This window comes from Homo sapiens, chromosome 16 (assembly GCF_000001405.40).
Source record: "Homo sapiens chromosome 16, GRCh38.p14 Primary Assembly".
Taxonomy (NCBI): domain Eukaryota; kingdom Metazoa; phylum Chordata; class Mammalia; order Primates; family Hominidae; genus Homo; species Homo sapiens.
The window spans coordinates 50,204,786-50,228,890 of NC_000016.10; the positions used below are offsets into that span (position 1 = coordinate 50,204,786).

The following is a 24,105-nucleotide window of genomic DNA, read 5'->3' on the forward strand; positions in this document are numbered from 1 at the left end:
AGTATATAAATAATCCCAGAAAGGATGGGCCAGACACTAGCAGAAACTCACCACACACACTGCACTGGGCATGCAGAAACTTTGCAAAATGTACTGGTGTGTGCTGTCACTGCATTCCTGGGTTTGGAGGTCTTCTGTGTCCCCAGCTGTCAGTATTGCCCACAGGCTGACCACTGAGCTCCTTCCACAGCCGGCCCATATCACCCTCTTTCGAAGTGTGTCTGCAAGGCTAGATTATTAGAGTAATTTAAGTGTTTCTGCTTTGTGTTTTCTTTAATGAATTTTTTTATGATGAAGTTCTTGTTTTAAAAATATACAGTGGTAATTAACATGTATGCATTTTTCTTAAAATGACCCCCCCAGTCCCTCTTCGGATGTGATCACTGTTAACAGTATCGTATATAGACCCTGTTCTGTGTGGGGCGGGCAGAGGGCTGGTTAGTGGGTGGAACATGCATACTCACAACCATATTTTTCACATGGGAAAATATAAAGGTGACAACAAATCTCCTGGACTATAATCTCATCAAGCAGACAATAATCTCTGTTTCAAAAGTGGACAAATACATGCTGATTTTTTAAAAAAAATTATAATAGTACAGAAAGATACAAAAATAAGTTAAAGTCTTCCTAACTCTCCTGCCTGTGCCCTCCACTGGGCAAAAGTCCCTGTCCCTAAGGTAATATCTGTTAACAGTTCTCCTTCCAGAAAACTTGCAATGCAAATAGGAACATTTTGTGTGTCTGCCTCTGTGTGTATGTGTTTACATGTCTTTTTTTTTTTTTTTTTTTTTTTTTTTTTTTTTTTTTTTTTTTTTTTTTTGAGACAGAGTCTTGCTCTGTTATCCAGGCTGGAGTGCAGTGGCATGATCTCAGCTTGCTGTGATCTCTGCCTCCTGGGTTCAAGTGATTCTCATGCCTCAGCCTCCCGAGTAGCTGGAATTACAGGCGCCTGCCACCACACCCAGCTAATTTTTGTATTTTTAGTAGAGATGGGGTTTCGCCATGTTGGCCAGGCTGGTCTGAAACTCCTGACATCAAGTGATCTACCCGCCTCAGCCTCCCAAAGTGCTGGGATTACAGGTGTGAGCCACTGCTTCTGCCCCTGCACATGTCTAACGCACACAAAAGAGATTCTGCTGAACACATTTTTTATGCTTTTTCTTTCCAATTTAACATATTTGACATCTTTATCAGCTTATATAGCTTTATTTTTTTAAGAGGTTATTGGCTATAAAGGGAAAGTGCTTTATGGGTGCTTCTGTTGTTATTTAATTGGATCCTGTTGATGGACATTGATATCATTTCTAAATTTTTTAGTATCCTAATTAATCCTGTGGTGAGCATCCTTATACAGATATCCTTGTTCCCTCATGAAAATATTTCTGGAGGATGGAAAGAAGGGAAATTTTAAAAATTATTTGTGTAAACATTATCGTTTGTTAGTAGAATGACCTCAGGAGAGATTGTAGTAATTTATACTTCCCCACATGCATATGAATGCCTTTTCAATATATTGTTTCAAAATTGGATATCATGAACCTTAAGAGATAAATATATATGTATGTATTTTTTTTTTTTTTTTTTTTTTGGTGGGGGCATGTCCTGTTATTGACAGTTTGTTTTGGTGGAGGGATGTCCTGTTATTGACAGTTATCGAATAGAACTTTGTCAGTTCCTTCATGTAAGGGATGAATTTGGTAATAAAACAGGTCTGACTTCAGTTATGGAACTGGGAAAGCTGGACCTTGATGTGGAGGTGGGCTCAGACATGCTGTGTCTGGGCAGGTATCTCTTGGGAAGCAGTGTCATCCCTGAACAGAAACATGGATGAGCCGCAGGGGACGGTGCTGAGCAGAGGGGCTGGCCGTGGGTCATCTGCCTCCCTTGGCCTAGAAGGCACAAGGGAGCTTTCCACCTTGCCTTTGGTTTTGAGAATGCAGAAGCTACTAAGCAACTCACAGTGTGCCCAGGGTGGTCCAGCTGAAGGATGCGAAATGGTTCTTCCTTTTCCAGCCAAAGATCTTGAACCTCCCACCCCATGACAAGCATTATAAAATTCACATAATTTTGATAGGCTGGATTCCTTTTCTGTAGCAGATCTTTCCTCAGAACAGAAGTTTGTTTTTTTTTTTTAACCTAAATTACCTGTGAGTTTTATTTTTTAAATATGGAATCTGTTTTTTGGACACCTCCTTGTCATATTAAATGTTCTGTTATTAATTTTGAGATTTTAATGTAAATTTTACCCCAGCAAATTAATTTTGTTTCTCTTGCTCTCTCTTTTTTTTTTTTTGGCATCCTTTCCCGTTGTATAGTGGTGCTCATTTTATCATACTGCTTTTATATGACTTTTCTTTTGTGAACAGGGATCTTGTTCACTTTTCCTTTTTTAAAAATTTTTTTATTTTTTTGAGACGGAGTCTTGCTCTGTTGCCCAGGCTGGAGAACAGAGGCACAATCTCAGCCCACTGCAAGTTTTGTCTTCCGGGCTCAAGCGATTCTCCCACCTTAGCCTCTTGAGTAGCTGGGATTACAGGCGTGCACCATCACGCCTGGCTAATTTTTTTGTATTTTTGTAGAGATGGGGTTTCACTATGTCATCCAGGCTGGTCTCGAACTCCTGGACTCAAGCGATCCACCCGCCTCAGCCTCACAAAATGCTAGGGTTACAGGCGTGAGCCACTGTGCCCGAGCCACTTTTCCTTTTAACATAAAAACATTGATATCCTAGAGAGGGCACTGTATTTTGGGTACATACAGGTTCAGATCACGGAAGAGTTGTATTCTATACTTTTTTTCATCATTCTTAGTTCAGTATGATGTATTTTATAATTTCATATGAGAAACTGTAACAATGGGCATGTGTCATCCAGCAATACCTACTCATAAATCATATTAAATTTTGATCCAAACATGGGAGAAACTGAAGTTTTCTCTGTGTACTTGGATGCTTTCAGAGGCATAAAATTATATTACCATGTGAAAGCAAGCCTACAAAATTCCTCAGGTGGTCCACTCTGCCACTCAAATGAGAGCCAGACTTACAGTGCACACTCTACAAACGGACTTCCAGCTCGTCAGGGTATTTTAAGTGCCTGAATATGCAAGGCACTGTGCCAGTAAAATTACTCAGTCCTGAGGATAGAGCCTGTTAGAATTATTTTAAAATCTGTACTTGAAGTTTATTTCCTCAGTATTCCAAGATATTTTATCTGGTTGTTCTCTGAGTATTTCACACGTAGCTAGTTACATATAGGTGAGATGGTGATGCTTGTGCCTGGTGTGGATGAGAAACTGAGCCTGGCAGACCCGAGATTGGATTTCCTCTTCTGACTTTGCAAGTGTGGCTTTGCTTTAATAATAGCCCTCCTCTTTTTCTGTATTCCTCTTTTCTCCTTCCAGTGTGGCAAATATGCATCAATCAAAATACAATAACCTGTGGAACCATTTTTTCTAAAATAGGAAGGTGGTGCCATGGGCTATTGATTGTTGAGGGTAGTCTTCAGAGCCTGTCTTATAAATCTATAATAATTCCCCCCAAATTAATGTGCTAGTTAGAACCCTAGAATTGCAGCACTGAAAGTGAATTTTAGAATCTTTTCCAACTTTTTACCAAGCTCAGAAAGCCCTTTTATTGGACCTTTGTTTGCCTCATGGTCATCTGGTTTCTTTATGCTGGTAGTAACAGGAACCTTACTAACCTACAAGGTGACCCAGTCCATCCTGGGCAGCTGTGATCATTGGAAAGCTCTGAATCATTCATCTGGAAGCTGCCTGTGGCAGAATAGTACAGAACATATGCATTGCACACACTACAAAACTGCTTTAAATAAGTGTTCCTTTTCATTGTTAGATGGAAGTGACCCAGGGCAAGGATCATGTTTTATGAGCCAGTTTTCTCCTAGTGCCTTGAACATAGGCACTTGGTAGTGTTTAGAGAATGAATTGTCTTTTTTTTTTTTGAGACAAAGTCTCACTCCATTGCCCAGGCTGGATTGCAGTGGCACGGTGTCAGCTCACTGCAGCCTCCACCTCCCAAGTTGAAGTGATTTTTGTGCCTCATCCTCCCGAGGAGCTGGAATTACAGGCATGCGCCACCACACCCAGCTAATTTTTATATTTTTAGTAGAGATGGGGTTTTGCGTGTTGGCCAGATGGTCTCCAACTCCTGGCCTCAGGCGATCTGCCTGCCTCAGCCTCCCAAAGTGCTGGGATTACAGGCGTGAGCCACTGCGCCTGGCCAGAGAATGAATTCTTAATAAGTTTCTTATGACTTCAGATTGACTGGCAGTTGTGCTAAATATTTTTTGCCTTTATTTGAATTAGAAAATTCGTAAGGGGGCCTTGAGAGTAGATGCAGTCACATTTAGGAGATTTTTCCCCCCCATTGGTTAAAATGCAGTTTTTCTATGGATCTGCTTTAGAACTACAAATAAACTCCGATCACTCACAGCAGACTACGCAATGAGATAAGAAGCAGTCCATTTGTTCTGTCGTTTATTCATGGCCCTCATCTTTGCCAGCCAACCTGTGCAGAAGAGCACAGCAAAGCATAAGCTTCCTAACAGCTATTCCCATTCAGCTGCTGTCTTCAAGAAGCAGAAGGGTTTAGATAACCTTAGAGAACATAATCAAACCTGGGAAACTCAAATCAAAACAAAACTTCGAAACGGAAGTTGAAGGTCCTGAGGTACCCAGAGGCATAGCAAGGAAAACGTCCCCACTGGGATATCTTCTGGATTCACCTACAGACCTCTCTGGAGTTTTAAGATCCACGTTTTATGACATATTGCATAGCAAACAGGCCGAACGCTGTTGTAAATCATCCTCTACGAAAGGCCCAGGTTTTGAAACTGAAGGCCTGAAAAGGCTCCTGCTTACCAGCTGTGTGCTGTACCTGACACACTGAAGCCTGAGAGTGCCAGTCACCTGTCAGAGGGAACACAGCTGCCCTCAGGCAGAACCTGAGTCTAGAACTCAAGGTTTTTGACTCTTAGGCTAAAAATAAAAAATCAGAAGGAGGAACTATGGATTGCTTAATCAGTCACATTTTCACTTTCTAAGGTTTCTTGTAGCAAAAGTTATAGTCTTTGGGGATTGGGATGTAGACACTTTTTTTTCCTTCCCTAAAACAATTTTTGGCCTGCCAGTTTTTCGAGCTTCCTGCTCTGGACCCTGAAGTTGCCATGCAGTTGCAGACATGCTCCTCCTTCAAGGCTCTGTTAAGCTGTGGCTGCCCTTCCTTACCACTGCTGTGCCCCAGGCCAAACCCCCTGCCCCTCCTTCCCCTAAGGCACTTTGCACCTGTTGCTCCGAGCCTTCTGGTCTATCCCAGTTGGTAGAGTCCCTGTGCTTACCTCTGTGGCTCAGTCCTCGTGGGTGGTCAGTGCTCTAGGGAAGGTGAGCTGACCACTTCACTTTCCCTTCCCAGCCATAGCTCTTCACAGCCTCACCAACTTAGAAAGGAATGCTGCTTTTCTCTCTGTCCCCCGTCCTGACTATGTTCAAGTCATTGCTCAGCCCAGTGAGTTTGTCCTTTCTTCCAGACCAGTAGTTTTCCCCCAGTCCCTCAGGCTTCAGCCCTTGAAGGCATCCTTAGCCCCCCACCACCATGATAGTCAGGCGCTGCGCCTATCCGCAGGGTGTGGGTATGTGTGTGTCTTTTGTTTCTGGAGCCCATTCCTTTCCTTCCACCAGCCTCTAGGCCTTCATCCAATCCTTTTGCAACTCAGTGATTCATGACTTTTCCCTGCATCCAGTCTAGTCTCTTTGCTGGTCCATTGTTTCCATAGTTGCCAGTTTAATCTTCTTAAAATGCTGCATTTTTGAAGTCAGTCTCTTTTGGTCCCTCTCAGAAACATTTAAATAGCTATCTGTTGCCACAGGGGGAAAGCTTGAACCTCTTAGCCAGTCATTCAGAGCCTGCCCTCTGCTGGGGCCTGCTTTCCTCTACAGATGCTTCTCCCACTCTGCCTGCCACAGCCCTTGTAGCTGGCTGATTGCCCTGTACCTCGCAGGCTCTGGAAGTCTTCAGCTCCTTCATGGAGCCTTTGCCAGCCATTCTTTTCAAGACTTTGCTGTTGTTCACTGCCTGATTTGTTCATTTGACACTTAATTCACTGAGCAAACATTATGAAAGATGTACTGTTTGCTACTGTGAGGAATGGATCCCCAAGAGATAAGAGGGTCAGTCCCTACTGCCAGGAAACTTGCCTGTGTCACCTGGGTTCAGTATCTTGTGTCTATTAGATCAGAAGTGGAAAGGCAGAGGCCAGCCCGTATGCTTGTTTTATTTTATTTAAATCACCAGCACCCCAGCAAGTGTTTTGCACAGGAAATTTCTCATTATTTAATTATTTTGGGTTTTTTGATTAAATTCTGTACATTCCCATTTTAGCTTATCTTGAGTTATAACATTAAAATTAAGGTAGTCATCAGCTGAATTATAAGACTTAATTAGATAAGATTATTTAAGATAGTGATTTCTCATTAGATTGGCCCTGTTCATATTAACTTTTCTGTTTTTTTCTTCAGTCTGCATGAAGAAATCAGTGATTTTTATGAATACATGTCTCCAAGACCTGAGGAGGAGAAGATGCGGATGGAGGTGGTGAACAGGATCGAGAGTGTAATTAAGGAGCTCTGGCCCAGCGCTGACGTGAGTCCCTTCCTGGGTAGCTTATGCTTCGGACAGTCCTTGTCCACGGGCTAGAAGCCTATCTGCTGGTATCTCATGCTAGTCCTCACATGCAAGTAGAAGTGCTCTGTAGAGTTGTGGTCTAATTAAATTTTAAAGGCAAACAATTTTCTGCAGTCTTTAGAATTGAGGCTTCCTAACTATTTTCATTGGATTGGATGACTAACAACTATTTTTTTTTTGTAGTGCTAATAGCAACTACTAAAGGCAAGCTATCCTTAGAAATTATTAGTGTAAAGAGAAGAAAGACAAATCAAACCTCATTGTTGTAGTGGTCTGTTATTGGATATGATATATCAAAACCTCATTACTACTTAGTTCCAGCCTGCCAGGGTAAACATTATATAATTGTTTACAGCTAAATGAAAATGTCAAGTAAGAACTTTTGTCACTTGAAGTTCATTTCCTTTGGCTAATGCACGCATAAGTCTTTTCTTATTTCTTTCCTGAAATTGCCATTTTTCATCTCTCTCAGACCAGCTAATTGCCTTTTAGACAGCTCCCAGTCAGTGAACAAAATGATTACTCAGGATTTCTTCTTGGCTTATTTGTCGTTTTTGTTACTGGTACTAAGTCTTTTGTTTTTTGTTTTTGAGATGGGGTCTCACTCTGTTGCTGAGGCTGGAGTGCAATAGTGCGATCACGACTTACTGCAGCCTCGATTTCCTGGGCTCAGGTGATCCACCTCAGCATCCCGAGTAGCTGGGACTGCAGGTGCACGCCACCACACTTAGCTAATTTTTGTATTTTTTTGTAGAGACTGAGTCTCACTATGTTGCCCAGGTTGGTCTTGAACTCCTGGGTTCAAGCAATGTGCCCGCCTTGGCCTCCCAAAGTGCTAGGATTACAGGTGTGAGCCACCACACTTGGCCTGTTACTGGTACTAAGTTAATACGTCACTTTTTAGGGCACTTTGAGGGCCTGTTCTACAATTTTGTGTATGCAAAGAAGTACACAAAATAATACTAATAAAATCCATTACTTTGTGTTTGTAGCTTTTCTTCAGGCACTGTCCTGGGTGGTGGTGGGAAGCTAGGGAAGGTTTTTTTCCAATTGGCAAAACAAAGAAGTTTCATTGTATGTAAAACTTGCAAGTATATGACAGTATGTATATGACACTGTAGGTAAAGGGAAAAGGCAAGGGTACTAATGTTTTATGAGCAATGACCATACATCGCATTCTTTCTCCTATGTGATCCAAATCAGTGGTTCTCAGCTAGTGGCTATTTTGTTCTCCAGGGGGCATTTGGCAATGTCCGAGACATATTTGATTGTCCTGACTGGGTACGCACTGCTAGTACCTAGTGGGTAGAGGCCATGGATGCCATCAGCCATTCTATGATGAACAGTATAGGCCCTTACAACAAAGAATTATCCACCCCCAAATGCCAATGTTGAGAAGCCGTGATCTAACTTAACCCTTATCTTTCTTAGGTGGAGGTTGATTATCTATCTATCTCTTTCTCTCCAGCCAGCCAGGCAGCCATCATCTGTCTACCTACAGATGAGGAACATGAGCTTGTGGTTAGGTTCCCAGGTCCATCTCGCCTCAGAGGTTGAACTGGTTTCACTGTTTATCATTTTTTTCCCCCGAGATGGAGTCTCGCTCTGTCGCCCAGGCTGGAGTGCAGTGACATGATCTCAGCTCACTGCAGCCTTTGCCTCCCAGGTTCAAGAAATTTTCCTGTCTCAGCCTCCCAAGTAGCTGGGGTTCAGGCGCCCGTCACCACACCTGGCTGATTTTTGTAATTTTAGTAGAGGTGGGATTTCATCATGTTGGCCAGGCTGGTCTTGAACTCCTGACATCAGGTGACCCACCTGCCTTGGCCTCCCAAAGTGCTGGGATTACAGGCGTGAGCCACTGTGCCCGGCCTATCCTTTTTTTATTACAATTACCTGCATACATATTTCTGCCTGAGTTCCACCGTTCTCCATGGGTTGAGATGGAATGCATCCCAGTTTTATGCCACAGCATGATGTTACCTGATGTTCTTTGTGGAATTGACCTAAAGGCCCTCACTTGCCCTACAGTTAAAGTAGTCTGATCCCAATTTAGTAATCTATTCGAAGACTCCTGCTTAGAGAACAAAAATGAAGGATTTGTGATTGTGTCTCTGGATAATGAGGGAACATTAGTGATCTGAACTGCTTCTGAAAGTTTCCTGTGGTTGGCTTTCTGTATCCACAGGTACCACACCTCCATATTAAACCAACAATGGATTGAAAATATTCAGAAAAAACTATAAAAATAACAATGTACCAATAAAAACAATACAAATTATTTTAAAAATACAGTATAACAACTATTTAGGTAGCATTTACATCATACTTGGTATTATAGGTATTATAAGTAATCTAAAGATGATGTAAAGTACATGGGAGGACTAGCATAGGTTGCATGCAAATACTCTACCATTTTATAGCAGGGACTCAAGCATCTTCAGATTTTGGCATGGTGGGACTGGAACCAATCTCCTGCCGATACCAAGGGACAACTGTATTTTGGTCTATGTGTTTCATATTGAACCAGATAAGTTTAAATTATATTCAGAATGTCTGCTTGTGAAACAGAATCCCCGCTTCATGAAGCTTGGGGTTAGAAAAAAATGCTCTTGTCATACCAAAAAGTACCAGTAGAGGGTAGCAAAAACTGACATTTCTCCATATCTTGGTGACTCAATATGATAACAACTTCTGATAACTCAATATAATAACAACTTCTTTTTCTGTTTCAGGTCCAGATATTTGGAAGTTTTAAAACTGGACTTTATTTACCTACTAGGTTAGTACACTCATGAATCTTTCAAAGGACTTTTCTTAGAGTGTATTCATTTTGGCTGTCAAATTTGTAAGGAGTAGAAACAAAACAAATTTATAAAACAAAATGGGGCTGGGCATGGTGGCTCATGCCTGTAATCCTAGCACTTCGGGAGGCCAAGGAGGGTGGATCATTTGAGGTCAGGAGTTCAAGACCAGCCTGGCCAACATGGTAAAACCCCATCTCTACTAGAAATACAAGAATTAGCCAGGCGTAGCAGTGCGCACCTGTAATCCCAGCTACTCAGGAGGCTGAGGCAGGAGAATTGCTTGAACCCGGGAGGTGAAGGTTGCAGTGAGCCGAGATCGCGCCACTGCACTCCAGCCTGGGCGACAGAGCAAGACTCTGTCTCAAAAAATAAGTAAGTAAATAAATAAAGGATTTACCAGCATTTAATTTGATTTACCTTGAAGTAGAATATCACTTCACATCATCTTACCAAGACATAGATGGTACAGAGAGATGGAAAAGGGATCATGTTGCAATGGAATCAATTAGTTACTAATTTTAGAAATTGACTGCCTGGCAGAGTATTGCTCAGTCCCATAACTTAACCCACTGACACAGATGTTAATGTAGTATCATGATAAAATGTCTGATTATATATCCTCTTGAATGTGAGTTCCCGCTGTCTTGCTCACTCACTCTTACACTCACCCTCGCTTTCAAATTAAGAACTCATTCTACTAGTTATGGCTCCAGCATCCTGATCCAGAAATTCAGGGTACAGATCTCTTCTCTGAGAAAGATCTTGGCCTTTCAGGACTGTTGTTCAGTTTCAGTCTTCTCAAATGAGACCTCTTGTGACGCACAGCCTTGGAGGCTCTCTTTTGGGAAATGATAATGTTTCTCCAAAGGGTGAATACTTGCTCTCTAAGAATTGAAATTGTTTGAACATTCCATCATGGTTATTATTATTATTACCTTAAATTTTAATCTCTCCAGAATAAAGTCAGCATCATGTTTTTCCATTTGAGCTTGATTTGGTATACTTTACCCCAACTTAAAGTGTGCTGAAGTGGATGGACCCTGGCAATTTCCGTTCTTCTCATAGATGCCCTTGGCCTGCAAAAGTCATAAAATACTCAACTTCGAGTTAATATTTCTTATTTAGGTTGTCAGCATCAGTAAAACATGAAAAATCACCTTTCTTAAAAAATTTAATTAAATTTTATGAATAGGTAGTACATTCACATAGTTCACATTTGGAAAAGGCACAAAAATCAATACAGGGAAAAGTCTCAGTCCCACCTCTGCCCCCTGGTTCTCCTTGGAACAGCCGCTTTTACCAGTTTCTCACATATCCTTTCAGAGATATCTGTGCATATAAAAGGACATGTGTGTATATTAACACAAATGGTAGCATGCTGGATACCTGTTCTGCATCCAGCTTAAAGCACTTCATAATATTTCTGAGTTGCAATTAATCTCATCCGGATAGGAAAATCATTATGTCTAGTACCACAAGCGTTTATTAAAGAAAATACATGAAGTGCTTTTTGTTTTTTTTTCTTTGAGGTTTTACTTCTTTCAAAATCACCCTATTTCCTGAGGCCTGAATTCTGTGAAATGACTGAGAGGAGGAGTTTGTTAAAATCAACAACTACTATTTCCCTTCTCCACAAAACCATTATCACCAACACATTTAGTCTTCGTTGGCCAGGGTGGGAAATAGGTTTTAATTGTACTAATGAAGTCTATAAGCATGAGTGTCAGTTAAAACAAGTTTCCAACTTCTTCCGACCCTCTTGTATATGTATTCTGTGTTCAGTGACATCGACCTAGTGGTGTTTGGGAAGTGGGAGAACCTACCCCTCTGGACTCTGGAAGAAGCTCTTCGGAAACACAAAGTCGCAGATGAGGATTCGGTGAAAGTTTTAGACAAAGCAACTGTAAGTTCTGCAGCATTTCATATTAAAATCCTTAGTTATTTACCTATGAAACTTGAATTAAAATTAAAGTTTGGTGAGCACAGTTGCATTGCAAGTGAGTGATTCTTTCATTTTGTTAATGTCACCGTGCTTGCACATAAAAAGTTTTCTGGTTGTCCACACTGGAGTGTGACCATACAATCTCGGCTCACTACAACCTGTGCCTCCTCGGCTCAAGTGATCCTTCTACCTCAGCCTCTTGGGGAGCTGTACTACAAACACAACCTGCCATGCCTGGCTAATTTTGTTGTATTTTTTGTAGAGACGGGGTTTCACCGTGTTACCCAGACTGATCTCCAACTCCTGGGCTCAAGTGATCCACCCACCTCTGCCTCCCAAAATGCTGGGATTACAGGCGTGAGCCACTGCACCTGGTCTGCATTTCTTTTCACAGCAGCAAAATATGCAATTTTATTATACACAGTACTCACTGTAGAGATTTTTGTTTGTTTTATTCATTTTTTTTAGAGAGATACAGTCTCACTATGTTGCCCAGGCTGGTCTCTAACTCCTGGACTCAAGTGATCCTCCCACCTCAGCCTTATGTGTATCTGGGACTAAGGCGCACCCTACCACGCCCTGCTTATTTAAAAAATTTTTTTTTGTAGAGATAGGGTCTCCCTGTGTTGCCCAAGTTAGGCCATTTTTTGAAAAGAACTGCTGATAGCTCATGTAAATAATCCTGTCAGCTTTTTAGAATAATTTTTATATTTTATCTTGTCAGGTTGTTTTTTGGGCTATTTGCAAAACTGACCAGTAATGCAAGTGGGTTGTAGTGTACACCTTAAGAATCCAGCAATTTTCTTATTAGAAACAGTTTGATGATACAAAACATTTAATACCTGGCATTCCTAGTTCTTCATCTTATACTCAGAAAGTGTTCTCCAAATTATTGAGGAAGGTTTTTGTTCATTTTAAAATTATCATTATAACTATATGTCAACTAATAAATGAGATGATGGGCATATTAATTTATTTAACTGTAGTAATCACTTCAGTATGTATATCAAGATAAGTATATCAAAACATGTACACCTTAAATATAAACAATAAAAATAAATAATAAAAAATTGGACACCAAACAAAATTCTCGGTTGATAGAAATTATACTGTAATATACTGTATGGGACCCAGTGCTAAATATGCAGCATATAGTATTTGTAGCAGACCAGGTTTACTGGGGTGTGCCATATTTAGAATACTCAGTGTTCTTATGCTCTCATGAGATGATGGAGACCTCATGTCTAGTAGGCTTCCATCCCCTGATTTTATCATTTAATCTGGTTAAAGCATTTACATTTTACCTTTCTTCTCTTTATAGGTACCTATTATTAAATTAACAGATTCTTTTACTGAAGTGAAAGTTGATATCAGCTTTAATGTACAGAATGGCGTGAGAGCAGCTGACCTCATCAAAGATTTTACCAAGGTCAGAGAATTTAGCGTTTATACAACAAAACTATTAGAAACGTAATTTTAAGATTCTGTTGTGGTGGTGTTCTAATATTTTTATATGCATGTTGCTGTCTCTCTCTCTCTCTTTTAAATAGAGCTAGGGTCTCACTCTGTCACCTAGGCTGGAGTGCAGTGGCTGGATCATGGCCCGCTGCAGCCTCAAACTCCTGGGTTCAAGTGGTCATCTCACCTCAGCCTCCCAAGTAGCTGGGACTACAGACGTGAGCCACTACACCTGGCTATTTTTTGTATTTTTTTTTTTTTTTTAGTGTTGGGGTCTCGCTGTGTTGGCCAGGCTGGTCTCTTAACTCCTGGCCTTAGCCTCCCAAAGCACTGGGATTACAGGCATGAGCCACCATGCTCAGCCTGCACCTTACTTTTGTATGCAACGGTTTTGCTTTCTTTGAATCTGCTTGTAATGATCAGTGATTAACTTATAATGTGACCTCAAGTAAGAATTAAAAGTTGAGAAAGCTTTTGAAGAAATTGTCTGCTCTAGATCCTTCCTTGTAGAGACAGAAGAGATGGAATTCTACTACACAGTTGATTCCATCTGTTTTTAACCTTCAGGAGTTCAGATTAAGAACCTTTCCTTTAACCCATTTCCCATATGCCCCAAGAATACTGTGCGGGCAGTGAGCTGCACTTTTTTTTTTTCTTTTTTCGAGGCAGAGTCTCTCTCTGTCACCCGGGCTGGAGTGCAGTGGCACGATCTTGGTTCACTGCCACCTCCGCCTCCCGGGTTCAAGCAATTCTTCTGCCTCAGTCTCATGAGTACCTGGGACTCGTGCCTGGGACGAGTACCAGGCACCTGCCACCATGCCTGGCTAATTTTTGTATTTTTATTAGAGATGGGGTTTCACCATATTGGCCAGGCTGGTCTCGAACTCCTGACCTTGTGATCCGCCTACCTCGGCCTCCCAAAGTGCCCGGATTACAGGCGTGAGCCACCGTGCCCAGCTGTACTTTTTTTTTTCCTAAACAGGAAATAGGTTAAGAGTTTTAAGAGCCTTTTCTAGATTTCAATCCCTAAATTACCTTTAAGGTGTTTCCTACAGGCTTCCTTACTTCTGTTTTGAAATTATTTAAGTTTATTTCTATTCTGTTTTCTTCCAAGATAGAGAATAATTTGTCACCATCATCTGTGGAACATTTTACATACTTAGGTAGTTGTCAGCTTTCTCACCTCTAACCTAAGCCATTAACTCCTTTGGCTTCTGTTAGAATATTCACAATTTTTTTTTTCTGTAGCAGCTCTAAAGTTTCTATTTCTTCTTTTTTGTTTTTTAAGAAAAAAATGTTAACTACTTGATGTTACAAGCATTATCATCTTGCATAAATGTATGGAAGACAGAAAAGCAGAAAAATAAAAGAAAGATTATCCATAATCGCACTATATTGGGGGTGTGTGTGTGTGTGTCTGTCTAATATTTTCTTTTTCTGGAAAAAACTTTTAAAAATTGAAATTCATATGCATGATAACATTCATCAGTATAAAGAGACAGTGTAAAGTGAGTCACCCTTACACCATAGATACTTAGATCATTTTTACAGAATTTCTCATTGCCAATTATTGTTTTTTGCGTTGCTTTTTTATGTTCTTTAAAATTATAAGCAAAAGGAGTAGCACATTATACACACATTGTCTTATAACTTCATAAAAACTTAATGTTTTGGAGGTTTCTTCCATATTAGCACATACAGGCTTGCTTTATTCTTTTTGTTGGTTACACAGGCAGTAGTCTTTTATAAGGCTGTGACTGCTTGATTTAGCAGTTCTTCAGTATTGTTCCAGTTTTCTTTTGCTATTAGAAAAAGGGATTGATGAATATACTTCCATACATGCATCTTGCTTTACACATGCAAAATGTTTGTAGAAAGATTCCCAAAAGCAAAATTTTGAGGTCGAAGGGTATATCCAGATAAAATTCTGTTGGATATTTCCCTAATTATTTATTCTTTCATATTCTCATTTTCTCTCTCTCCCTCCCCCTTTTCTTCTCCCTCCCCCTCTTCCTCTATCCCTCCCTTTCCCTTTTCTCTCTTTTTCTTTCCCTCCCTTTTCTTTTCTCTTTTCTCTTCTTCCTTTTTCTTCCTTCCCCTTTCCCTTTTCCTTCCTTCTGCTTCCTTTTTTTCCTTTCTTTCATTTTTTGACACCGAGTCTCACTCTGTTACCCAGGCTAGAGCGCAGTGATCATGGCTCACTGCAGCCTCGGCTTCTTGGGCTCAAGTGATCCTCCCACCTTGGCCTGAGTATCTGGGATCACAGGCTTGCCCACCACACCTGGCTAACTTTTTTTTTAATTTTTTTTTTTTTGAGATGGAGTCTCACTCTGTTGCCCAGGCTGGAGTGCAGTGGCGCGATCTTGGCTCACTGCAACCTCCGTCTCCCAGGTTCAAGCGATTCTCCTGCCTTAGCCTCCTGAGTAGCTGGGATTAGAGGCGCACACCACCACGCTCAGCTAATTTTTGTATTTGTAGTAGAGATGTGGTTGCACCATGTTGGCCAGGGTGGTCTCAAACCCTGACCTCAGGTGATCCGCCCTCCTCAGCCTCCCGCAGTGCTGGGATTACAGGCGTGAGCCACTGAGCCCGGCCACTTTTTTATTTTATTTTTTAAGTAGAGATGAGGTCTTGCTATGTGGCCACTTTTTTTTTTCTTTTTTTTTAAGTAGAGATAAGGTCTTGCTATGTTGCCCAAGCTGTTCTTAAACTCCTGGGCTCAAGCAGTCCTCCTTCCTTGACCTCCCAAAGTGTTGGGATTACAGGCATGAACCACCACACCTGACCCCTAATTGTTCTTTGAAAGGGAACTGTATCTAGACTGACTTAACCACCATGTTTTGTTTTGTTTTTTGAGACAGAGTCTTGCTCTGTCACTCAGGCTGGAGTGCAATGGTGCGATCATGGCTCATTGTACCCTCCGCCTCCTGAGTTCAAACGATTCTTGTGCCTCAGCCTCCAGAATAGCTGGGACTACATATGTGTGCCACCACGCTGGGCTAATTTTTGTATTTTTAGTAGAGATGGGGTTTCTCCATGTTGGCCAGGCTGGTCTTGAACTCCTGACCTCAAGAGATCCACCCGCCTCAGCCTCCCAGAGTGCTGGGATTACAGATATGAGCCACCGTGCCCAGCCCACAATGTTTAAAAATACTTATTTCTCCATATTTTTGTTCTTTCCTATGCTTGCTTAGTTTGATACAATTTGCAAAAGTATAAGCTTTTTTTTCTTTTTTATAGAAGCCATGCGTGTTCATTGTAGGACATCTAGAAAACAGAGATAAGAGTAAAGAAAAAAAAATGGAAATCACCGGCCAGGTGCTATGTTTCACACCTGTAATCCCAACACTTTGGGAGGCCCAGACAGGCAGATCATTTGAGCTTAGGAGTTCAAGACCAGCCCGGGCAATGTGGTGAAACCCTGTCTCTACAAAAATACAAAAATTAGCTGGGCATGGTGGGCTGAGGTCGGAGGATCACTTGAGCCCAGGAGCTGGAGATTGCAATGAGCCAAGATTGTGCTACTGTACTCCAGCCTGGGTGACAGAATGAGGGGGAAAAAAATGGAAATCACTAGTAATTTTACCACCCTAAGTAATAATAGCTGTTAAGACTTCTTTGAAGATGTTGTGCCTGCTTTGTTTCCCTCCGTGGCCCCAGCCTATGGCATGGTTTACAGAGGAGTGAATGAATATGTGCACAGCAAAAGGTGGACTCATTCTGTACATACTTGCCCACTCAGGTGTTCTCTCGGGTAGCCCTGCCTCATTCCCTGTGAAGCGTGGAAGGGAGGGGTGGTCTGTGTGTAGTCATCAGCCCATGTGCAAGTCAGCAGGCAGGACTCTTGTTTGCCCCAGGGCTGTGGCAGAATAATCTAAAGGTCGCTAGTCTACAGTGGTACATCACCAAGAAAAGTGATTCTTAAAAATCTCACTGATTTAGTGCTTTAAGATGTTGGTTACTTTGTCCTTGTACTCTTTCTATTCTCTGTTTACAAATGAATATTAGAGGGTCATGGTCACAAATGAGCATCATCAGTTACATGCTGTTAGTGTTTCTATCCTATAGCAAGTACTTTTTTTTTTTTTTGAGATGGAGTCTTGCTCTGTCACCCAGGCTGGGGTGCAATGGCACGATCTCGCCTCACTACATCCTCTGCCTCCCGGGTTCAAGTGATTCTCCTGCCTCAGCCTCCCAAGTAGCTGGGATTACAGGCTCCCACCACCACTCCTGGCTATTTTTTGTATTTTTAGTAGAGATAGGCGTTTCACCATGTTGGCCAGGCTGGTCTCGAACTCCTGACCTCAGGTGATCTGCCCGCCTTGGTCTCCCAAAGTGCTAGGATTACAGGCATGAGCCACCATGCCCAGCCCTGTAGCAAGTACTTAGATACTATTATTCATTTGTACATGTCTTACAATTTAAGTATAAGGGGAGAACCATTCATTACCTATAGTTTACTTTTTTTTAATAGCTTACTCTTAAAATAGAAAATTAAGTATGTTGTATATCTCTACCAAATTTTATAATGTAAGGACCAATTTATGCCCCTCTTAATGCTTAGATCTGTTGCTGATACAGGAATTCATTGAAAATACAATTTTCTTTTTCAGAAATATCCTGTATTGCCATACTTGGTTTTAGTATTGAAACAATTCCTATTGCAGAGGGACCTTAATGAAGTATTTACAGGTGGAATTGGTTCTTATAGTCTCTTTTTAATGGCAGTCAGTTTCCTTCAGGTAAGTCATATGGGTATAGCATGCTAGTGCACACTAAAAGCAAAAGTGATCAATCAGCTGGGAAACATTTTGGAAAAAATCGAAATCAACCTGTAATTGCATTGCTTTCCTTGATTACTTAACGGCTTTTCCCTTTAAACTGGGTACATTTTATCATTTAGCAAATATGTATTTTTAAATTCCTATGAAAGAATATTTTTGGTTTTAAATCCCATACATTCTAGTATTTTTGAGACTTTTCACTGCAAATTTTAACATGCAAAATGTACGGCCTGGTTTCCATAAGCATAAATAGTATAAATGCCAACAATAAGAATGTCTTCTAAGCAGCTAAATCTTGTAAGTTTAGTTGGAATTGAGACCAGCTATTTGGGTAAGCGAATTAGAGTCTTAGTATTGTAAGTGGGTATGTTTATGTGGCACAGGGTTGCCAACTGCCTGAGTCTATTCGTGAGTCAGAACGACTTTGCTGATGTGTTGGGCCAAGCCAGCCCTGGTTGGCAGCCTGGTGCAGCCGTAAAATTCAGCCTTACAAACAGTCTCCCGCCATTCCCGCACCATGGGACTTTAGTGTTGTGTGTAACAACAGTATAACCTGCTGTTAGCCCATTATCAACTGACTGCTATGCTAAACCAAAATTATAATAATATTGCTTGTAGAAGTTAGAATATAATTTATTCCCCCTCTCCTTGATAATTTAGCAAAAATCCAATATAATTTCTTCTTTTCTGCTTTTAGTTACATCCCAGGGAAGATGCTTGCATCCCCAATACAAACTATGGTGTTCTCTTAATAGAATTTTTTGAATTATATGGACGACACTTCAATTATTTAAAGACTGGCATCCGGATAAAGGATGGTGGTTCATATGTGGCCAAAGATGAAGTACAGAAAAATATGCTAGATGGCTACAGGCCATCAATGCTTTATATCGAAGATCCTTTACAACCAGGTATTGAAATTAGGTAAATTTGTGGGCATTCAAAGAGAGGGCACTGTCAGTCACCTTATTATACTTTAAATTCTCTTTAGATGAAAAATGAAGGAACAACTTCTAATTGTTATTCTTTTTTCATCGAAATATTTCATGAGCAAACATACTAAAATAAACAGACACAGACAATAGAAAAACACCTTGGAGACTTCCAGATAAGTAGGGAGTAGAATCTGTTTAACCCTAAAAGCATAGTAGAAAAGGCATTCACTTATTTGGATGGGTTCATGTTTGGTGGCTGTTTCTCCTTCTTGGGTCCTTATTGCCTTGATTACAACCAATTGTCAGCAATTAATGAGGCTTTAATGAGATGATTCTGAAGTCCTGAGAGGCAGCAAGCATAGTAATATATCTTTGAATTCATGAGCAGAAGGGTGCAAGGAGACAATGTATTTTCTTTTTGAATTTCTCCTTTCCTGTTTGATTTTGCATGTCTCTTTGTGCTTTTTCCAGCTTCATGTGGGCTTGAAAGTAAGCAGAAAGTAAATTCCTTCCATGCTTTTCTGAAGTTCTGTTTGCTTGCTTGTGTCCTGATTTTTGTGAGCAATATTTTTTCTTGATATAATTGTAAAATAGATTCTGCGTTATTGGACTTCAGTGGAAGTGCTTTTAGTCATTTGCTTTAATGTGTAAACTTTGAAAATGAGTAAGGAAAGGGGGTGAAGAGATAGAGTAGTTGCCTAGGAACCATTTTCTGGCTTATTGAGCTGCCTTATAAACATTAATAGTTCTATGTGTTTATTCATTGAGGAAACATTACATTGATTGGGAGCCTGCTCTGTTCAAAAGTATTGGGCCAAAGGACACGAAGACTTTTCAGCAAGACGATCCTTGCTTTTTAGGGGCTCATAATTTAGAGTGAGAAATAGATATATAGCTAATATAAACCCAAAAAATATAGAAGTATTTCTGATGTAACTTGGGGTTTCACTCTTAGGAGTGAACAGGGCACTATTTCTTTTGTTTGCATAACTGTTTATGTATGGAATGGGATAATTCTTGATGGGCCAGAATACATTCCGGCAACTGATACACCATAATGAAGTACCAACTGCATGATTCACATATTCAGAGACTGGGGAGCTTTGGGGACAGCTCACAGCTCAGCTTCCAGGCACAACTCTGGTGGGATAACTATGGCCCTTGCTCTCCTGGAAGAGAGTCATCAACATTTAGTGCATATTAAGCACAGTCAGGCTTACTATGTTACGTATATTTCTTTTAAAGGTAACGATGTTGGAAGGAGTTCATATGGGGCCATGCAAGTGAAGCAGGCCTTTGATTATGCCTACGTTGTTTTGAGTCATGCTGTATCACCAATAGCAAAGTACTATCCCAACAATGAAACAGAAAGGTAAAAGTTCATCTATAACCAGCCCATTGTGTCAAAATTAGTTGTGGCTTCTTATCTTCAAATTAATGTTATTCCCTCCCTCTCCCTTTCTTTTTAAACACATGCAGCATACTAGGTAGAATAATTAGAGTAACAGATGAAGTTGCCACATATAGAGATTGGATATCAAAGCAGTGGGGCTTGAAGAATAGACCTGAGCCTTCATGCAATGGTAAGATATTTTCCTTGGTCGATTGACTGAGTATTAGAGGCTTTTCTGTGTTGTGTGCGTTTAATGGGAAGAAACGTTTTCCAATCTTTTGCCACTCTTTCAGGAAATGGTGTTACCTTGATAGTAGATACTCAGCAGTTAGATAAATGTAATAATAATCTATCTGAAGAAAATGAAGCCCTTGGAAAATGTAGAAGTAAAACCTCGGAATCTCTTAGTAAACACTCTTCAAACTCTTCATCAGGTCCAGTGTCGTCCTCTTCTGCCACACAGTCCAGCTCTAGTGATGTAGTAAGTATGAAAGCCTCGGCTCTTCTGAACTCAGATGCATGCACGTTCTCTTGCTGGGGTTAACACTGTCTCGAAGGCTAAGGCTACTTCCTTTGCTTACATGTTACTGGGATATTTTAATAACTTTCATGCTTGTACATTTTCTCAACATTTTGTTATGAAAAAGTTCAAGCATATAGTAAAAGTGAACAAATTTTAGTGAGCATTCATGTACTCACCAGTAGATTCTGCTATTAACCTTTTACTTGCTTATGTCATACCTGTCTATCCATCACTCTATCCATTAATTCATCTTATTCTTTGATCCATTTCAAAGTAGATTACAGACATCAGTTCCCCTAGAGTACTGTAGCTTGTGCATCCTTGTAGCCAGACTCCAGTATTTGTTTATTGTTTTTTCCTTTTTTTTTTTTTTGAGACGGGATCTCCCTCTGTCACCCAGGCTGGAGTGCAGTGGTATGATCTCGGCTCACTGCAACCTCCGCCTCCCATGTTCAAACGATTCTCCTGCCTCAACCTCCTGAGTAGCTGGGATTACAGGTGCGTACCACCATACCCAGCTAATTTTTTGTATTTTTAGTAGAGACGGGGTTTCACCATGTTGGTCAGGCTGGTCCTGAACTCCTGATCTTGTGATCCACCCGCCTCAACCTCCTAAATTGCTGGGATTACAGGCATGAGCCACCACACCTGGCCTTTAACGTTTTTCTTTTCTTTTCTTTTCTTTTTTTTGAGACGGAGTCTTGCTCTGTCACCCAGGCTGGAATGTAATGGCATGATCTTCACTCACCTCAACCTTCGCCTCCTGGGTTCAAGCGATTCTCCTGCCTCAGCCTCCTGAGTATCTAGGATTACAGGCATGTGCCACCACACCCAGCTAATTTTTTGTATTTTTAGTAGAGATGGGGTTTCACCATGTTGGCCAGGCTGGTCTCGAATTCCTGACCTCAAGAGATCCACCCGCCTCAGCCTCCCAAAGTGCTGGGATTACAGGCGTGAGCCCAGCTGTTATGACTTTTTAACACCATAGTTAGTTTTGCCTGTTTCAGAATTTCATACAAATGGAACCACATAGAATATAGTCTTGTGTAAGGCTTCTTTCACTCAATTTTTTTTCAGCTTTCTGGTTGAATTTTTTGTTGTTGTTGTTTTGTTTTGTTTTTTGAGACGGAGTCTCGCTCTGTCGCCCAGGCTGGAGTGCAGTGGCGCGATCTTGGCTCACTGCAAGCTCCGCCTCCCGGGTTCATGCCATTCTGCCTCAGCCTCCCAAGTAGCTGGGACTACAGGTGCCCGCCACCACACCCGGCTAATTTTTTGTATTTTTAGTAGAGCCAGGGTTTCACCGTGGTCTTGATCGCCTGACCTCATGATCCGACTGCCTCGGCCTCCCAAAGTGCTGGGATTACAGGCGTGAGCCACCACGCCTGGCCAAATTTTTTTTTAGTTGAGATATAGTTAACATAAAATTCAGCATTAAAAATGTACAATTCAGTGGTTTTTAGAACATATTCACAATGTTGTGCAGCCATCTCCAGTAATTCTAGAACATTTCCATCACCCCAAGAAGAAACCCTGCATTTAGCAGTAGTTTCTTCTAATTCTTCCTTCCCTCCCTTAACCTCTGGTAACCTCTAATCTACTTTCTCTTTCTATCCTGATAGAATTTTTTTTGTTCCCCCATCCTGATAGAATTTATGTGTCAATTATAATGTAAGTTACCTTTTAAAATCAAAGTGAATTTGTAGTGTACTGATTTGAGATCTAAAGCAGGCTTACCTGTTTGAGTTTAACTTTATTAAGTGTAGGACATGAAAAGTAATCTAAATATTGTATGTTGTTGATGATGACCATGTGTCAATATGGAATCATAAATCCTCCTGTGCAGAATCTCCCTGTGTGCTTTTTTGGTTCCTAGAGCAGTATGCTTTGGAGGACAGAAGCCAAGCTAGATGTCACAGACACAGGGAGATGGAGTGTTGGGGACTGAGAGAATGTGACTCTGACATGCTGGGTAGAGTGCCAGGGCCAGGGTGGAGACCTGCAGAGAGACGTAGCATTGTCATGGCCCATGCAGCCCAGAAATAGGTGGAGCTCAGCCCACTGTCGCGGGAAGTCCACCCCCACCCACACCAGTATGTTTGGTTAGAATGATCACTGATTTGTCATCACAGACTCTCAGAGATTGAACCCCTTAAACCCATCATCTTGTGTCTGGCTGAAGCCAGGGACTAGGACCTAGGTTCCTCACTCTTTACCATACTCTTTCATTTTCTATAAATAAAAAAACAAATAAACTTAGACCTCTGTGAGCTCCTTCAAGGTCAGATGTGGGCAGTGGATTTAACAATGAACAGAAGCTCTCTGATAAAATCAGTCATTTTAAATGTTTGGAGGAAAATTTAAACAAACAGTTAATTTTTTGTGTGCTTCTTTTAACTCCCAAATGTTTAAATTTAGTCCAGAGAGTACTTTAACCAAAATTGTTTTTCTTTCTGAATATTGAGTATCTAAATTACTAATATGTCACATTATAACTCACGTGACTTGTGTTAGGATTCCGATGCAACACCATGCAAAACCCCGAAACAGCTGCTTTGCCGTCCGTCCACTGGGAACCGAGTAGGGTCGCAAGATGTATCCTTGGAGTCCTCTCAGGCAGTTGGGAAAATGCAAAGCACCCAAACCACTAACACATCCAACAGCACCAACAAATCTCAGGTGTGTGGAACGTGGGTTTTTAATTGTTAGTATTTGATACAAAATATTTAGAATTTCCCACATGTAAATAATATGCAGCATGGGTTTGAAGAAAACGCTAGATTGAAGAACAAACTTATTTTATTCTAAGAGGTTCCAACACATGACAGTGCTTCTAGGAACAGGATGTCCTAAGGATCCTTGTGAGACACCATTGTAACATAAATCTCTTCAGGAATCTATTGACTGGTCCTTATAAGATGTTCCAGCCAAACTACCATATAAAAAGTGTCTCAGTTGTACATGAAATAAGCTGGCATGAAGGTTTTGTGAGGCCTCATGGCAGTGTGCATATCTGGGAATAATGTATCCTTTTCTAATATTTTAATGTTCAATACCTTGTTGCTGGTGTTGAAATGATCAGCTGGCTGTCAGGCGTGGTCAGTTGATTAACATTAGCTTGGACTTAAAAGGCCACAGAGATACTCTAGTTTAAGTTTTTTTGTTGCCTAGAATTGTCATTAACTGAGTAATGACTCAGAGTGAGGGGAGGAAGCCATTGATATGGGGCTCTGGCCTAAGGCTGGGTCACTCCTCACTATAGCTGGGAACCTGGGAATAGGCCTCTTGGCTGTAACCTTGTGTCTGATTTGACTCACTGAGTTCACTTTACCTACGCGGCCTTAGCCATGTATGCCAGACACAGACTTATCACAAAATACCAGTTCAAGTGACAGGGTTGACAGAAGGGACTGAGGTCACGAGAAAGCCACAGGCCATGAGTAGCAGGAAGGGAGTAGCCACCTGTGCTGACCCAAACCTACCAGTGTGCCTGTCATGCCCAAGAGCCTCTTCCCGCTCTGTCACTTATGATGTGGTGTTTGGGTTGGTAAGTTTCTTAAGAAAAC

The 24,105-nt window shown here is 41.1% G+C and overlaps 1 protein-coding gene across 10 annotated transcripts in view, besides 3 other annotated features; it reads left to right on the plus strand.

The window, feature by feature from the left end:
• The window catches only part of TENT4B (terminal nucleotidyltransferase 4B), an 82,400-nt gene that overhangs the window by 51,875 nt on the left and 6,420 nt on the right, over positions 1 to 24,105 (plus strand). For 5 of the 10 annotated variants that reach the window (NM_001365323.2, XM_011523275.4, NM_001040284.3 and 2 more), the window contains 10 exons: positions 6,538 to 6,661; positions 9,436 to 9,482; positions 11,290 to 11,410; positions 12,771 to 12,878; positions 17,521 to 17,649; positions 18,389 to 18,602; positions 19,872 to 19,998; positions 20,106 to 20,209; positions 20,313 to 20,500; positions 23,054 to 23,218. In NM_001365323.2, coding sequence (NP_001352252.1) covers positions 6,538 to 6,661; positions 9,436 to 9,482; positions 11,290 to 11,410; positions 12,771 to 12,878; positions 17,521 to 17,649; positions 18,389 to 18,602; positions 19,872 to 19,998; positions 20,106 to 20,209; positions 20,313 to 20,500; positions 23,054 to 23,218 — 1,327 coding nt within the window. The remainder of the gene's footprint in view (positions 1 to 6,537; positions 6,662 to 9,435; positions 9,483 to 11,289; positions 11,411 to 12,770; positions 12,879 to 17,520; positions 17,650 to 18,388; positions 18,603 to 19,871; positions 19,999 to 20,105; positions 20,210 to 20,312; positions 20,501 to 23,053; positions 23,219 to 24,105) is intronic. The other 5 variants (XM_047434476.1, XM_011523276.3, NM_001040285.3 and 2 more) reach the window with 1 other exon arrangement.
• Positions 3,653 to 3,947: a silencer, noted in NCBI's record as "tiled region #14159; HepG2 Repressive non-DNase unmatched - State 7:EnhWF". NCBI's record gives its function as "represses a minimal TATA promoter and a strong SV40 promoter by Sharpr-MPRA in HepG2 cells {active_cell/tissue: HepG2}" and the evidence as "EXISTENCE:reporter gene assay evidence [ECO:0000049][PMID:27701403]".
• Positions 5,217 to 5,276: an enhancer, noted in NCBI's record as "active region_10810". NCBI's record gives its function as "activates an Ori minimal core promoter by ATAC-STARR-seq in GM12878 lymphoblastoid cells {active_cell/tissue: GM12878}" and the evidence as "EXISTENCE:reporter gene assay evidence [ECO:0000049][PMID:35858748]".
• Positions 5,793 to 6,087: a silencer, noted in NCBI's record as "tiled region #8986; K562 Repressive DNase unmatched - State 12:CtcfO". NCBI's record gives its function as "represses a minimal TATA promoter and a strong SV40 promoter by Sharpr-MPRA in K562 cells {active_cell/tissue: K562}" and the evidence as "EXISTENCE:reporter gene assay evidence [ECO:0000049][PMID:27701403]".